This window comes from Homo sapiens, chromosome 7 (assembly GCF_000001405.40).
Source record: "Homo sapiens chromosome 7, GRCh38.p14 Primary Assembly".
Classification (NCBI taxonomy): Eukaryota; Metazoa; Chordata; class Mammalia; order Primates; family Hominidae; genus Homo; species Homo sapiens.
Genome location: NC_000007.14, coordinates 64294494 through 64311465, shown reverse-complemented (window position 1 = coordinate 64311465; position 16972 = coordinate 64294494). Strand labels below are relative to the sequence as shown.

Genomic DNA, 16972 nt, shown 5'->3' with positions numbered 1-16972 from the left:
AGGGAAGAGGGGCCTGATACCTCAGCTCACAGAGGCAGCCGTGACGCTCTCATGAGAGGAAGTTTGCCAAGTGCTGAGATCTAAGGGTGTAGTCCTGATTCTCTTCTCCCAAGCCTCAGGATTCTGGTTCCAGCCCTGCCCATCCCAGGCTCACTCCCATCCATATAATCCTTTCTGGCAGGGTTTCCCATCACCAGATAACTGGAAAATGTGTCCAGGATGGAGGCAACACCCTGTGCTGTCGGGTGGTGATGGGGATGACTACTCACTTTTGGGTGTCCCTTCGAGGCCTGTCCCCTGAAATCTCATAATCCCCTGTCTCCTGGACCCTCCTATCCGCATCTTCCACTTGTCCCCCCCTTTAGCTGCAGGAGATCAAAGTTCTCCAGGAGATGCAGCTGCTTCAGCTGGCTGTAGACAATTATCACCTTCAGCCTGTGGAGCAATTTTGGGTCTGCCTCCAGTTAACGGAGTGGCTCAGTGAGACTGAGAGGTGAGGGTCCAGCAGATCGGCAGAGGTTATGGAGAATATTTATTTTGGGCCAGCTGCCAAGAGCCTGTGGCCATGGCTCCCTGGTCAGTGTCAGGCCCTGCTGCATGGTGACCCCGGGGGCCCAGCACTCCAGCTGGGCAGGCACTGGGAAGGAGACTAGGGGTGTGACTCCTACATAGAGACCTCACATCTGCCTCTATGACTTGTAGCTACAACCTGTCCTGCCAGCTGGATCGCTTATCCCAGTAGGCCAGCAACTCCTTAAGGCCATGGAGAACATGCCATGATGAATCTTAGGGGACACTGCCTGGACCAGCAGGAGCGAAGTGCCTTAGGGCTCAGTGACATTTGGGTTAGGCATGGGATCCGGGTGTCAGACAGCTACACTGGGCTTCCAGCTCCACCACTGACCAGCCCTGTGCCTGGGGCAGAGGACTCACTGCTATGGTACTTGAGGCCCCATTGTCATAAATACAATGCACACTGCCAATTCCTTTTTCTCATTTATCTGTTTATTTATAATCAACAGGTACTACTGATCTCTGTTGGTGTTTTTATTGAAAATTAATAAGCATGTGATACATTTTTTATCATTCTTCCTCATGATTTCTTTACTATATGATTCTTCTCATATGTGGTACTTAAGAGTAGTTAAAGTCATAGAAAACACCAAGTAGGAGAGTGTTTCCCAGGGGCTACAGGGAGAATAAGGAGTTGTTTAATGGGTACAGTTTCAGTTTCAAAAAATGGAATATGCTTTTTATATATGGAAATGATGGTAGCAAAATAATGAGTGTACTTAATTCATCTCAATGGAAACCTTTAAAATGGTTAAAATAGTTAATTTTATGTGTATTTTAACATAATGTATAAAATTATTTTAAATTTTTATATTATTTTTTAAGAGACAGAGTCTTGCTCTGTTACCCAGATGGGAGTGCAGGAGTGCAATCATTGCTTCCTGTAGCCTTGAACTTATGGGCTCAACTGATCTTTCTGCCTCAGTCTTCTGAGTAGCTGGAATAGCAGACACATGCCACCGTGCCTGGCTAATTTTTAATTTTTTTGTAGAGAGAGGGTCTCACTCTATTGCCCAGGCTGGTCTAAAATTCCCAGCCACAAGTGATCCTCCCACCTTAACCTCCTAAAATATTTTAGGCTGAGCACGTTGGCTCATGCCTGTAATCTCAGTACTTACATATCTACAGCAGGATTGATGAATATTACAAATATGATGTACAAAAGAAAGTATATGTAAAAGTATACATACTATATAATGTCATTTATGTAAAATCCAAAAAGAATATAAAATTGAGGTTTTGGCTTTCAGTAATAGTGGAGTAGCTTGTTGAACACTACTCTTACAAATAATGGTAAAATCTGGATACAATGTCATATATTATATAGAAACACACATCTATATATCATACATATGATATATGTGGGGATAAGAAGCGAATGATAATTTTAGCTGTGCCCACGGAAAGGGAGACAGGCATTTGAATTTGAATCCAGCCAAATTAACTCCCTCTTCAAAAACTAACAACACTCTTCAAAGGAATACAACAGGATCCAGAGTCTCTATAAGTATTATTTACAGTTTTTAAAATACAATTTTAAAATTTAAGAGACATGAGAAGAAACACAAAAATGTTATCCATACACAAGATAAAACATAGGCATTAAAAGCTATCCCCAAAATGTCCAAGATGTTGTTATCAGCAGTCAAGTATTTGAGAGCAGCTATTAAAACTATAGTCATGGGGTGAAGAAAAAAAATTCTCATAATGAATGAATACATGTGGAATCTCAGCAGAGAAATGCACATTATTAAAAAGAACCAAATAGAAAGATAATGAAATTTTAAATAGTACTTTTAGGTTGATTCATAGATTAGAAAAAGACAGAACAATTGAAATTATTCAATCTGAAAAAAAGAGTAAAAAAAGTTTGAAGAAAATGAACAGAGTCTTACAATCTGTGGGCAGATTGTGTCCTAGAAAGAGTGAAGGGACAGAAAAATTAAATGGGGTGCAAAAGTAACAATAGCTGAAAACTTGCAAAAATTTGTCAAAACCCCACATTTTATATCCAAGCAGTCAACAGATTCCAAAAAGAAAATCCAAGTAAAATCGTACAAAGGCCACATTGTGATTTAAGAAACTGGCAGGACAGGGCTTCCAATTGACTTTCTAAAATTTCTAATTTTTACTAATTATAATGATGGAAAATAGGTTATCCTTGAGAGATTTATCTTGGAGAAAGTCTCACATATCAGGCACAGATGACTAAGGGTTATTAAAGGCAGATGACTTTCTAGCCTTGTTTTAGAGTTTTAATTTCTTACCTTGGAAATAAATTTGTTTCTTACAAATCTTGTAGTAAAAGTGATTCTCCAGAAAGATGTGCCCAGGATATTCTCTCCTGCTGCATCCTCCCTGCACAGAATTGAAGCTGTGCGTACTTCAATTTCAGAAATGTACAATATGAATTACTTAGTTAATCTGAAAAACTAAAAGAAAAACATGAATTAAGGTAATTACTTTTATGTTCCTTCAGCAAATTACTAAAAGTGGTTCCAGAGATATATTTAAAAATGATTATTAAAAGAGTTTTTAAGGGAGCCCTATTCAGGGCAAAAAGACATTGTACATTACCTCAGTACACAAACTTTCCTAATGTTTTGGGAAGGACCTAGGGTCCTGTTTTGTCCTTTTGGCCCGTGTTAACACTAGGACACCTGATACCTGGGAACCAGCCTGTGTGGGAGTCACAGAGTGGTGGATGTGGCTCCCAAAGTGGCTTAAAGGGGTCCCTTCTCTGTGCAGTTGAGTATTCTGATTGTACGAAGGAGTCAGGCCTTTCCCGTGTGACGTTTTCTCCTCTTTATTACAGTGGCAGGCGCATCCCTGCGAGAGGCCTGACCCAGGTGTGTAGGCCAAGCAGCCAGCCCGGAAATCCAATGGGGTGTTCTTGGGGTACAGAGGAGGATCTGTGACAGTCCAGAGAGAGAGAAAGGAAAAGGTGGCTTTGAAGAGGCAAGTGCAAAGATACCAGAGACGGGGTATTGTCATTTTAGGCAGTTAATTGACGGTTTCACTTACCAGGGAGCTCCCATCATGGGCTCCCAAAAGGCCTGACAACTGCTAGGCCCACGGGCCATTAGCTGCACCTTTACTGAGGGGCTGCACTATGCATGTCTGAAAGCCGCGTGGGACAGAGGAAGGGGCAGGGATGAGGGAAAGGACGGGGTGAGGGAAGGAAGGGAGGGTAAACCTAACTACGGCAACCTTGAGCAGGCTGGAAGAGGCTTCCTCAGGTAGGGGTGATGTCACAATCACAGGTTGAGATCAGCTGCCCGGGCCACGCTGGCTCCTCGCAGGCAGGCGAGATTTGGGAACAGCCAGGATCCCCTCCGCACGGGAGAACAGCTCTAGACGCGCAGAGGGGCGGAGTCCAAACGGGTGCCATCACCGTACATCCTGGGAGCTGTAGTCTCTTAACCGCTCGTAGCCCGTTGGTGGCAAGGCGACAGTATTACAATCCCAGCATGCGCAAGTCTGGGGGCGGTGCGAAGCCCTGGGGACACGGCGGTGCGCGCCTAGCTAGACATGCTGAGAGATGTAGTCTCTTAACCTCTCGCAGTCCCTAGGTTGCAGGACTGCAGGACTACAATCCCGGCATGCTCCGGGCTCGGGGTTTGGGCATAGCTTTAGAAAGAGAGGCAGGGCGGCAGGGCGGCAGGGCGGCAGGGCGCGGTGGTTTTCGCCTGTAATCCCAGCTCTTTGGGAAGCCGAGGCAGGCGGATCACGAGGTCAGGAGATCGAGACTATCCTGGCTAACACGGTGAAACCCCGTCTCTACTAAAAATACAAAAAATTAGCCGCGCGTGGTGGCGGGCGCCTGTAGTCCCAACTACTCGGGAGGCTGAGGCAGTCTTGAACCCCGGAGGCGGAGGTTGCAGTGAGCCGAGATCGCGCCACTGCACTCCAGCCTGGGCGACAGAGGGAGACTCTGTCTCAAAAAAAAAAAAAAAGAAGAAGAAGAAGAAGAAGAAAGAAGAAAGAAGAAGAAAGAGAGGCAGGGCGCTGCGCACCTCGCCGGGCGTGCGGGGACGTTGTAGTCTCTTAACGGCTCCCGGCTCTCTGGTCGCCTGGCTGCAGGACTACAATTCCAGCAGGCACCGGGCTCAGTGGGAGGGGCAGGGTGGTGTGGACCTGGCAAAGCAGTGCTGCCCGCTCACCCCCTGCTGCCCTGTCTCCATGGGGAGTGAGTTTGGAGAGAGATATAAGGGATAAATCTGGGCTTTTGCCCAAATCTGGCAGGTCCTACCTCCGGCTGAGCAGCTCTTCCTCTCTTTATCCTTATCCGCTGGTTTTTCCATGGCATCGCGCCTCCTTCAGCCCATGGAGCCGCCTGCTTTCCTAAACTACTACAGAAACTGGCCTGATGGCTGTCTGAGACATTGTACATTGTGCCACCGGCCTCTGCTTACTCCAGGCAGAGCGCCAGTTCAGCAGCATTTGGGAGAAATTTGCTGCCTGGGCCGCCCGTAAACAACTTGAGCTTTGCAGTGGGTAACATGGGCTGTGGTTTGGTGAAAATGTCAACCTCACTGACCCCTTTTTCGTGGAAGTAGAAGTCGAGACATGAGGGAGAGTAATTATTGGCTTACCCGGGATCTGCTAAAAGCAGAGGAGAAAGCCCCAGTGTTTCCAGGCATGTGTCTGGGTGGGCCATTTTTACCAACCCATTTAAGGGGCTAGGCCTCCAAAAATCAACCTAAAGGTAATGATTGTTTTGATATTTTACACATGTGATCATGGCTTCATCTCACCTTAGACCTGACTGGCCAGTGTCTCAAAGACATAGATGGTGACCAGCTCTCTCTGGAACAGATGGCACTCCAGCTTTGTGGGAGCAACTTTCAAGGTGTAGATCATTTGGAAGGCATTTGAACCTGTGAGGTTTAACATCTCTGCTTTGGATGGAAAGCTCATGACCTTCTGCAGTCAGGGATGGAACTGAACTTGCTGGGACTGATCTGTTGAAATGTTCTGTCTAGATAGTGGAAACATCCAGGAGCACTTCTGCTTCCATGTAGCCTCTTAATAATTGATGTCCCTAAAATACTAAGTACTCAGAAACAGTTACTTTTGGCGGGGCACAGTGGCTCACACCTGTAATCCCAGCACTTTGGGAGGCCAAGGCGTGTGGATCACCTGAGGCCAGGAGTTTGAGACCAGCCTGGCCAACATGGTGAAACCCCATCTCTACTAAAAATACAAAAATTAGCTGGGCATGGTGGTGTGTGCCTGTAATCTCAGCTACATGGGAGGCTGAGGCAGGAGGTGGAGGTTGCAGTGATCTGAGGTTGCACCACTGCACTCCAGCCTGGGCGACAGAGCAAGACTCCATCTCAGAAAAAAAAAAAAAAAAAAAAGAAAGTTACTTTCAGAAAGTTGGTACAAGCTTTCTTGTTTTTATATCTAATCTGTAATAACCCGGGTGTTAATCTACAGGGAAGTGATAGTTCATTCATGTCACACATTCCAATAGTTTTTCATTTGTGATTTCTGAATGTGGTACACTATCAAAAAAAATGGGAAAACATGATTGTGACCATGGAAATCTATTACTGTACTTGCGAAACTTGTGAAGAATTTACCACTTCAGGATTAATTACACCTAGATTCGTCACTGCCTTTGTAAAGAAAGGAAGAGAAACCATGTGTCATCTATGCAGGTGGCAAGATGAGGAAGTATAGGGAGATGACAGCACAATACTGGGGCTCTAGTCTTTTTTTTTTTTTTCTTTGAGACAGAGTCTCATTCTGTCACCCAGGCTGGAGTGAAGTGGTGCAATCTCGGCTCACTGCAAACTCCGCCTCCCGGGTTCACACAATTTTCCTGCCTCAGCCTCCCAAGTAGCTTGCTTTACAGGCATTTGCCATCACGCCTGGCTAATTTTTGTATATTTAGTAGAGACAAGGCTTCATGATGTTGGCCAGGCTGGTCTCAAACTACTGACCTCAGGTGATCCACCCTCCTTGGCCTCCCAAACTGCTGGGGTTACAGGCGTGAGCCACCACGCCAGCTGGGTGCTGCTCTTTTTAAAAGTAAGGCCCTTAGTCACAGTCTGTGTGGTAAAGTGCTTGCATCCCTCCCCTATCCCTCAGTATTCTCACCCTACTCCCTGTTCCCTCTTTAGGTAAGGGTGTCTGATTACACTTGCTCACAAGTGTTGAAAGGGAATGTTGTAATGTGAACCTACACATCATTTTAAAATGAGGATTAACGGAGAGGAGTCTTGGGACCTGTGTTTAGATGCACTGCTGTTTGGTGTGTGGCTGCAAAGACACTGTGCTGTCAGCCATCTCACGGCAGCTGTCTGAGAAGATTGGTCCTGATGCAGCCACAGCTGCTGTGCACGGAGCAGGAGCTCCTTGCAATTTGGTGTCTTCTGGTTAGATTTTGTGGCTCTGACCCTCCTCTGCTCTCCCATTCCTGGTAGTATCTGCTGGGTTGTGTGGTTTGTTCCACTTTTTTTCCTGTTAGCCTGTTGTTTAACTGTATTTCCCAGGGTCTTTAGGGATTCTACCCTTACTAGACTAGTGACTGGACATTGGCCAGGTACTTATCTTGCTAGAGCCCCCATGCTCATTCTCTCCAGTGGAGCTGTGAAGAATTCAACTTACTTGTCAGTCTTCTCATTCGGATATTGCTGGACTCTTTATGAATCTGGGAATTGTGTCTTTGGTCTCATCAATATTATCTCTTTTATATATTTTGAAGTCTGATACCTTTTTGTTTTGTTTTGTTTTGTTTGACACAGAGTCTTGCTCTGTTGCCCAGGCTGGAGTGCAGTGGCAGGATCTTGGCTCACTGCAACCTCTGCCTCCTGGGTTCAAGTGATTCTCCTACCTCAGCCTCCTGGAGTACCTAAGACCATAGGTGCCCACCACTACCATGCCCAGCTAATTTTTGTATTTTTAGTAGAGACAGGGTTTCCTCATTTTGGCCAGGCTGGTCTCGAACTCCTGACCTCAGATGATCCGTCTGCCTCGGCCTCCCAAAGTGCTGGGATTACAGGCATGAGCCACTGCACCCAGCCACTGATACTATTTTATTAATAATGTGGACACTTGCAGTAACCACCATTTTTAAATATTAGTGAATTTAGGCTGGGTGCGGTGGCTCACGCCTGTGCCACTTTACTTCAGCCTGCGCGACAGAGCGAGATTCTGTCTCAAAAAAAAGAATTTAACTCTGGCAACAATTTGATGAAGTAGGCATAGATCCCCATTTTACAGGTTAGGAAACTGACACCCAGAGGTTGAGTCATTTCATTAACACCACACAAGTTTTTGGAGCATTTCAAATCTTAACCTAGAAATCTTTCTCTAGGATATTTAAGCATATCTCATATTCTACTTTGTTTCTCACTGCCAGAGTCCCGAAGGGTACAGATCTCATTCTCACTCCATTTTCTTCTTGTCGATACAAAACTGGCAAAAAAATAGCCTCATGGGGAGGGTGGAAACTAGCTGGAGCTGGGCCTTCCCTTTTCTATTTCTTACCCTTGATAATTGTTAGTTTTTTTGAGTGAGCTGGAGAGGGACGGAGCCTGGCCAGTCCTCACCTTTAAAGTTTGTTATGTAAAGCTAATCCACTTACTTTTTGCAGGTGTGATTATTCTATTCTTTTTTTTTTTTTTTTTTTTGAGACAGATGGAGTCCTGCTCTTTTCACCCATGCTGGAGTGCGATGGTGTAATCTTGGCTTATTGCAACCTCTGCCTCCTGGGTTCAGGAGATTCTCCTACTTCAGCGACCTGAGTAGCTGGGATTACAGGCGCCTGTCATCATGCCCAGCCAACTTTTTGTATTTTTAATAGAGACAGAGTTTCACCATGTTGGCCAGACTGGTCTCAAACCCCTGACCTCAGGTGATCCCCCCGCCTAAGCCTCCCAAAGTGCTGGGATTACAGGCATGAGCCACAGCGCCCAGACTTACCCTAATTACTTTTCTGGGTTTTCTCTTATAAGTTCCTGCTGTGCATTAAAATACAACGCAAATATGGATGAAAATAAAACTTTTGCCCTCCTAATAAATGGTAAAACACTCTTTTTTTTTTTTTTTTTTTTTTTTTTTTTTTGACGGAGTATCCCTCTTGTTGCGCAGGCTGGAGTGCAATGGCGCGACCTCGGCTCACTGCAACCTCCGCCTCCTGGGTTTAAGCAATTCTCCTGCCTCAGTCTCTTGAGTAGCTGGGACTACAGGAACGTACCACCATGCCCGGCTAATTTTTGTATTTTTTCTAGAGACAGGGTTTTGCCATGTTGGCCAGGCTGGTCTTCAGCTCCTGATCTCAGGTGATCCACCCGCTTCAGCCTCCCAAATTGCTGGGATTACAGGCTTGTTTGGACTGAGTTCCAGATCTGGGCTGTCATGGAACATAACAGGGACCCTTCATGGGGACAGCAAGAAGGTTCACCGACCCAATTCAGAGGAAGGAAGAGCCTGGCCTTCAAAATTACTATGACCATCAGAATGCCCTAGGAGATCAAAGAAATAACGGAGTGGGTGTGAGACCTTTTACAAATGTGTGCACTCAAGCAGTGCAAAGGCAAACCTCCTGGTGGGTAATCAGAATTCAGACCCCACTTTTACCCTCACTGAAGTCTCATTTGGATTTTTGGCTGCTGTCAAAGACCTGCCAGTTAGGATTCCAAGCCTCTTTTTTGAGTCCTAGCTCTTGTAGTAGACAGAATTTCTAAAATTCCCCAAAGATGTCCAAATCTCGGGAACTTCTGAATATGATGGGATTTCAGTCCCGTGATTGTGTTATGTTTCAAGATAGGAAGATTATCCAGGTCGGCCTGGCCTAACTATGCAGGCCTTTGAGAGCATAGAGCTTTCTCTAAGTCAGAGATTCAAAGTAGGAGGGAAATGTGATGTGCTTTTGCTGACTTGGAAGATGGAGGGGCAATTTGAGAAAAATGTGGGGAAACATCTACTTACAGAGAGTGGGTCCTAGCTAGCAGCGAGCAAGGGAACAAGGATCCCAGTCCTACAACCATGAGGAATTGGAAATTGGCAACAACCAGAATGGGTTTAGAAATGGGTTCTTCCCAGCACCTCTAGATGAGAGCCCAGACTGTTTGCTACTCTGACTTCAGCGTTTTGAAAACTAAAACAGAGAGCCCAGTGGAGCCTGCCGGACTCTGAACCATAAGTTCTACAGAACCATGAGCTAATAAATGGGTGTGTTCCTAGCCACTAATTTTCTGGTGACCTGTTACAGAGCAATGGAAGACTAATATGCCTCTCATGCCCTGTGCAGTGTTAACCTCAGCAGCACCTTCTAGGTCTAGGGGACTCATGTAATATATTCTTTTTTTTTTTTTTTTCCCGAGACAGTCTTGCTCTGTCACCCAGGCTAGAGTTCAGTGGCGTGACCTTAGCTCACTGCAACCTCCGCCTCCCGGGTTCAAGCGATTCTCCTGCCTCAGCCTCTCGAGTAGCTGGGATTACAGGTGCACACCACCATGCCTGGCTAATTTTTGTATTTTTAGTAGAGACAGGGTTTTACCATATTGGCCAGGCTGGTCTCGAACTCCTGACCTTAAGCGATCTGCCCATCTCAGCCTCCGAAAGTGCTGGGATTACAGGCGTGAGCCACCACACCCAGTCTTTGACTCTATTTCTTGGGTCCTGCCTTTAAGAGGTATTGTGACATACCTTTGGGTTAATCACTTAGGAATGTGACTGACTTCTGTTCCCTAGGACCTGTCTACAAGCAACATTGTAACATATTTCTGAGCCCATCACATGGATAATGTGACCCTTCTCTTTTTGTCCTGCCCCAAGTGAAGATTGTGACATGTCACCAGGCCCTTTGTCTAGGCAATATGACTCTTCTCTCCTGTCTGGGCCCTGATTACAAGGGGGATTGTGACAATCACTGGGCCCATCATGTAGATAATAAGAGTTTCTCTTCCTGCCTGGGCCTTTTCTACAGAAAAGATTAAGACATCACTGGGCCAAGCACCCACATGATGTCACTCGCCTGCCTGCATTCTGCCTACAGTGGGTATTGTGACATATCCCTGGCACAGAACCAAGGTAACGTGACTCACCTACCTGGTTCCTGCCCACTGATGGGATTGTGACATATACCTAGGTCCAGCTCACAGGCATGATGATAACTGTCATACGTGGACCCAGCCAATAAGAGATTTTTGCTCTTAGGCTTATTACAACAGGTATGCTTCTGGGTATTCTACATATAGAGAGGTCACGGACTATTAGGACGCTCATGCATATTTTATAAAGACCTTGGGTGGTACACAGATGTTGTCACAGGCCAGTGCACATGTGAAATTGTGACTCCCCTAGGCATACCCAGCCAATCATTAAGATTTTCACCCTCAATGCATGCATACAGCCCACTCTTGAGGTTCTCAATCTCACACCTGGTAGCAGTCAAAATTTGGAATTGTGACTCTCATATGGGGATTTGATTGACAGGTAAAATTATAACTCTTTTTTTTTTTTTTTTTTTTTTTTTTTTTGAGACAGAGTCTCGCTCTGTCACTCAGGCTGGAGTGCAGTGGCATGATCTCAGCCCGCTGCAACCTTCGCCTTCCAGGTTCAAGCAGTTCTCCTGCCTCAGCTCTTGGACAAAACTTCAGCACTCCTGCTAGGGTGTGTCTGCCCTACTAAGACACTGTGCGCAGGTGGAGTTGAGGCTCTTATGTATGGATCCTGTCCACTGTTGAGATTGTGAATTGCATGTGTAGACTCAACTCACAGGAGGTGTTGACTCACAAACCTCCAGCTGGGACATGTGCAGGATTAGAAATTTTATTTCTGGATCTTTCTTCAGGTATGATTGTGACATATACCTTTGCCTAGCACCTGATTGCTTTTACATTTTTGCCTGGGCCCAGTCTACAGTTGAAATTGTGACATATACTTGGGCTACATAGGTGATGTGATGTTCCTGCCTGGGCTCTGCCTTCAGGAGAAATTGTTACATATCTCTGGGCCAATCACCTAGTGATGTGACTTTCCCTATCTTTCTAGGCCCAGCTTACAGAAGGCATTGTGACAGATCTCTGGGCTCATTACCTAGGAGATGTGACTCTACACTGCCGGTTGGGCCGAGCCCCACTGAAGATTGTGACATATTACTGAGCCCATAAACTAGGTGACATGACTCTGCTCCCCAGCCTAAGCCATAATTAAAGGGGACATTGAGACATATTGCTGTGCCCAGCACCTATGTGATGTGACTCTCCTTTCCTGCCCAGGCTATGCCTAAAAGAAATTGTTACATATCATGGAGCCAAGATCCCAGTTGATTTAACTCTCCTGCTGGGCCCTGCTCACATGGGAAATATTGGCATATTCCTTGCCTAGCACTCAGGTGATGTGAACTTCTGCCTGGTCCCTGCCCATATGTGAGATTGTGACATATACATAAGCCCAACTCACAGGCATAATGATGATTCTCTTACCTGGACCAAGACAGTAGAAAATATTTTGACTCTTCTAAATAGGCTATGGAAATAGGCAATTTACTGGGTCTTTTACTTGTAGAAAGATCAGAGATTACAACACTCGTGCATATTTTATAAAGTTCCTGAGTGGCACAGAGAGTGTCATAACAGGGCTCAGCACACAGGTGGGATGGTGACTCTCATAGGCACAGCCAACAGTCAGGATTGTCACTTTGCCACATGGACACAGCTCAGTCACTGCTGAGCTTCTGAATCTTCTGCTCAGAGACAGTCAAAAGTTGGAACTGTGACTCTCATATGTGAATCTGTTCCACAAAAAAAGATGATGGCTCTCAAATATTCAGCACATGTGTGAGGCTGTTACTATTCTATCAGGAAAAAGTCTGCAGGGGTCTTGGGGCCCTCATGCAGGAATCCAGGTCACCACTGAGATTCTGACTTGCAAACTTGTACCCAACTCACAAGTGTTTACTCCCATACCTGGTGTTGGGACCAATGTGAGATTGTGAATCTAATCTCTGGACATTCCTACAGGTGTGACTGTGACATATAGCTTTGCCCAGCTTGTGAGATTTGATTATTTTGCCTGGATAAAACCAACAAATGAGACAGTGACATATATTTGGGCCATACACCTTGGCAATATTACTCTCCTGTCTTGGCCCTTTTCTTAGGGGAAATTTGGACATATCTCCAGATCTATCACCTAGGTTATGTTACCATCTTTTTCTGCCTGAACCTTGTCCACAGGGTAAATTGTGATATATTTTTAGACCCATCCCCTAGGTGACACGATTCTTCCCTTCTGCCTGGGTCCTGCTTCCAGTAAGGATTGTAACATATCGCTGGATCCTGCACCCAAATGATGTGACTCTTCTGCCTGGGCCATGCCAACAGTGGGAATTGTGACATATTTCTGGACCCAATATATAAGTGACGTGACTATCATTTTATGTCCACAGAAGGCGTTGTAACATCTCACTAAGCCCAGCACTCAGGCGATGTGGCTTTCCTGCTATGGCACTGCACACAAGAAGAATGTTGACATATTCCTGGCCCAGAATTCAGGTGATGTGACTCTTGCCTGATCCACACCCAGAGGTGAAATTTTTACATATACCCAGGCCCAGTTAGTGGACATGATAATGACCCTCATACATAGACTCAACCAAAACAACAGATTTTTTTACTCTTCTGGCTAGACTTAGGGACACAGGTAAGGTTCTGGGTTTTCTTATAAAAGGTCATGGGAGATTATGACACAAATATTTTACAAAGCCCTTGGGTGGTATAAGCTATGTCATAACACGGTCCAACACGCAGGTGAGATTGTGACTCCCATAGGTGCACCCAGCCAACAATGGGATTGTCACCCTTAAACCTAGACACAGCCCACTGGTGAGGTTATAAATCTCACATATGGATGCAGACCACAGTTGGAATCGTGACTGTCGTATGTGGATTTGGCCACAGGTCAAAGGGAAGTCATTTCTTGACTAACTCACAGGCACAGTGTTGTCTCTTACACTTGAACCAAGCTAACAGAAGAGACGTTCACTCTCATTGTTACGCTTGGGAAAATGGGGATGGTTCTGGGTTTTCTACTTGTACAAAGGTCACAAAAAAAATCACAACACATACAACATAAAATCACATACAGTATAATGCCCTGTGGTGGTACAGAGAGTGTCAACACAGCCCAATACAAAGTTGAGACTTATTCTCATACCCACAGCCAGCTGACAGTAAGAATTGTCACCCACACATGTGGGCAGATCCCACTAGTGACATCCTGACTTTGCCTTGTGGACACAGTTCACAGTTGAAATTGTGACTGTCATATGCAGATCTGACCACAGGTAAGATTGTGACTCATTTCTGGACCCAGCTCACAAACATGGTGATGACTCTCATAGCTGGACCCAGACAAGAGAAATTATGTTGACTTCTGCCTGGGCTTAGGGTAACGGGTAAGATCTTGGATCCATAAAAACATAAAGTTCTCAGAGCAGAATTCCACTCTCAAGCATGTTGTGTGAAGATCTCAGATGGTACAAAGAGTGTCATAACAGAGCCAAAAACATAGAGGAAATTGTGAATCTCCTATGCATACCTAGCCAACAATGAGGATAGTCACTCTCCCATATAGACACAGCTCACTGTTGAGGTTCTGAATCTCGTGCCCAGAGGCAATGAAAAGTTGAAAGTTTGACTCACATACATGCATCTGGTCAACAGGTAGGATAGTGACTCTGAGACCAAGATTCAGCACCCTGGTGAGGCTGTGCCTATCTTATGGGGACTCTGTTTGAAGGTGGAGATGGAGCTCTCATGCACGGATCCTGTCCGATGTTAAGACTGTGTCTCGTGTATTTGGATGCAACTCACAAGAGGTGTTGACTCTCAGACCTAAAGCTGGGAAATATGTAGAATTGTGAAATTTATTCCTGGTCCTTCCCGCAGGTGTGATTGTGGCGTATATGTTCACACAGCACTTAATTTATTTTACAATTTGTTTGAACTCAGCCAACTGTTGGGACTGTGACATATACCTGGACCAAGTTCCTAGGTGATGTAACTCTCCAGCCTGGGCCTTACCACAGGGTACATTGTGACATATCTTTGGACTTATCACCTATGTGATGTGACTCTACTGACTTGCCTTGTCTTGGCCTCCATTGGGGATTGTGGCATATTTCTGTGCCCAGTACCTAAGTTATGTGACTCTTCTTTCCTGCTTGTGCATTTAGAAGGGATTGTGACATATTGCTGGGCCAAGAACCTAGGTGATGTGACTCTCCTGCCTTGGCCCTGCCTTCAGGAAAAATTGTGATGTGACTCTGGGTTTATTACCTAGATGATGTGACTCTTGTGTTCTGCATGGGCAAGCCCAAAGGGGTCATTGTGGCATATCTCTGGGCACATCAAAGAAGTGGTGTAATTTTTCTCTCATTCCAGGACTCTAGTCTCAGTAGGGATTGTGACATATCACTGGGCCCATAACCTATGTCATGTGATTCTAGTATCCTGCTTGGGCCCTGCTTACAGGAAAGATTGTGACATTTGGCTGGGCCCATCACCTAGTTAATGTGACTCTCCTTTTCTTCCTGTGCCCTGCCCTCAGTGGAGATTGTGACAAATTTCTGGGCCAATCAGCTGTGCAATATGACTCTGCTCTTTCCTGGGCCCTGCTATCGGGGAGCATTGTGACATATTGCCAGGCTCAGCACCTAGGTAATGTGACTCTTCTTGCTGCCTGGGCCCTACTTACAGAAGGGATTTTGATGTATTGCTGAACCAAGAATTCAGATGATGTGACTCTCCTGCCTGTGCGCTGTCTACAGTGGGCATTGTGACATATCATTGGTGATGTGACTCTCCTGCCTTGTTCCTGCCCACAGGTGAAATTGTGGCATATACCTGGGTCCAGATCACAGGCACAATGATGACTCTCTTACCTGGACACAGCCAGTGGGAAATATTTTGACTTTTGTAGCCAGGCTTAGGGCCACAGGTAATGTCCTGGGTCTCTTACTTGTATAAAATTTACAGAACATTACAACACTCAGGACTATCATAGGAAGACCTACAGTGATACAGAGAGTTGATAACAGGGCCTAGCTAACAGCTGAGATTGTGACTCTCATATGCAGACCCAGCCTACAGGCTCTTCATTCTTACACATAAACAGAGCCTATGAATGTGGCACTTAATCTCACACATAAACACAGTTGCAAGTTGGATTTGTTACTCTCATATGTGGATCTGGTTTCCAGGTGGTTTGGTGACTCTCAAACCATGATTCAGCAGACCTGTGAGGCTGTGAGTTCCCTATCAGAACACAATCTGCAGGTGAGATTGGGGCTGTTGTGCATGGATTTGTGCATTGTTGAGACTGTAACTCCTTTACTTGAACCCCACTCACAGGAGGGGTTGCCTCTCATACATGAAGCCAGGACTCGTGTGAAACTGTGAAACTCATTTCTGTACATTCCCAAGTGTGTGATTGGGAAATATACCTTTGCCCAGAACCTGAGTGATCTGACTGTTTCCTAGGCCCAGCCCACACATAAAATTGTGACATATACCTGGGCCACCCACCTAAGTAACGTGAAACTCCTTCCTGGGCCCTGCCTGCCAAGGGCATTTTTACATTTCACTGTGACCAGCATCCACCCAGGTGCTGTGACTCCCCTGCCTGGTACCTGCCTACAAAGAGCATTGTGACTTATTTCTGGGTTCATTATGTAGGTGATGTGACTTCATTCTACTGCCTTGGCTCTGTGCTTAGAGTGCATTGTGACATTTAGCTGGGTACTGCACCCACATAATGTGACTCTCCTGACTGAGTTCTTCCTACAGGAAGCATTGGAACATATCACTTAGCCCAGCACCTAGGTGGATGGGATTCCCTTTCTTGCCTGGTCCCTGCCCACTGGAGAGATTGTGACCCATTGCTGAGCCCAGCACCAAGGTGATGTCACTCTCCTGCCTTGGCCATGCCCATGAGGGCCACTGTGACACCTGTCTAGGCTAATTACTTAGGTGAAGTGAGTCTCCTTTCCTGCCTAAGCTCTGCCTACAAGGGGGATTTTGATATATCACTGGGCCCAGCAGCCAGGTGATGTGACTCTTCTGCCAGGGTCCTGCCTACAAGGGGGATTGTGACATGTCTCTGGACCAGCACCCAAGTGATGTGTCTTTTCTGGCCTTTCCCTCCCCACAGGTTGTATTGTGCCATATACCTGGGACCAAATTACAAGCACAATGATGAATCTTTTACCTGGAGTCAAGACATGGGCAGGATGATGGAACTTATCACTGGACCTTTCCACAGTGTTATTGTGACATATGCCTTTGCCCAACATGTGGTGATTTGACTCCCCAGACTGGGTCCAGTTCACAAATAAAATTGTGCCGTATACTTGGCCAAGAACCTAATAGGTGTAATT

General features: G+C 45.8%; 1 long non-coding RNA gene across 14 annotated transcripts, besides 2 other annotated features; it reads left to right on the top strand.

Annotated features, from left to right (window-relative positions):
* The first annotated feature begins 989 nt into the window (after positions 1-989).
* Positions 990-16961, top strand: LOC105375322 (uncharacterized). 14 transcript variants are annotated; one of them, XR_007060347.1, is made up of 8 exons: positions 990-3968; positions 10282-10760; positions 11077-11383; positions 12983-13088; positions 14335-15254; positions 15422-15534; positions 15797-15872; positions 16747-16961. It is a non-coding gene; the product is annotated as an uncharacterized LOC105375322 (long non-coding RNA). The 14 variants fall into 14 exon arrangements; XR_007060345.1 differs by lacking the exons at positions 14335-15254; positions 15422-15534 and adding an exon at positions 11584-11707; XR_001744923.1 differs by lacking the exon at positions 990-3968 and adding an exon at positions 8839-9133 and having other exon boundaries at positions 10517-10760; positions 14335-15534.
* Positions 3534-3693: an enhancer, noted in NCBI's record as "active region_26056". NCBI's record gives its function as "activates an Ori minimal core promoter by ATAC-STARR-seq in GM12878 lymphoblastoid cells {active_cell/tissue: GM12878}" and the evidence as "EXISTENCE:reporter gene assay evidence [ECO:0000049][PMID:35858748]".
* Positions 4484-4533: an enhancer, noted in NCBI's record as "active region_26055". NCBI's record gives its function as "activates an Ori minimal core promoter by ATAC-STARR-seq in GM12878 lymphoblastoid cells {active_cell/tissue: GM12878}" and the evidence as "EXISTENCE:reporter gene assay evidence [ECO:0000049][PMID:35858748]".
* Positions 16962-16972: the final 11 nt, after the last annotated feature.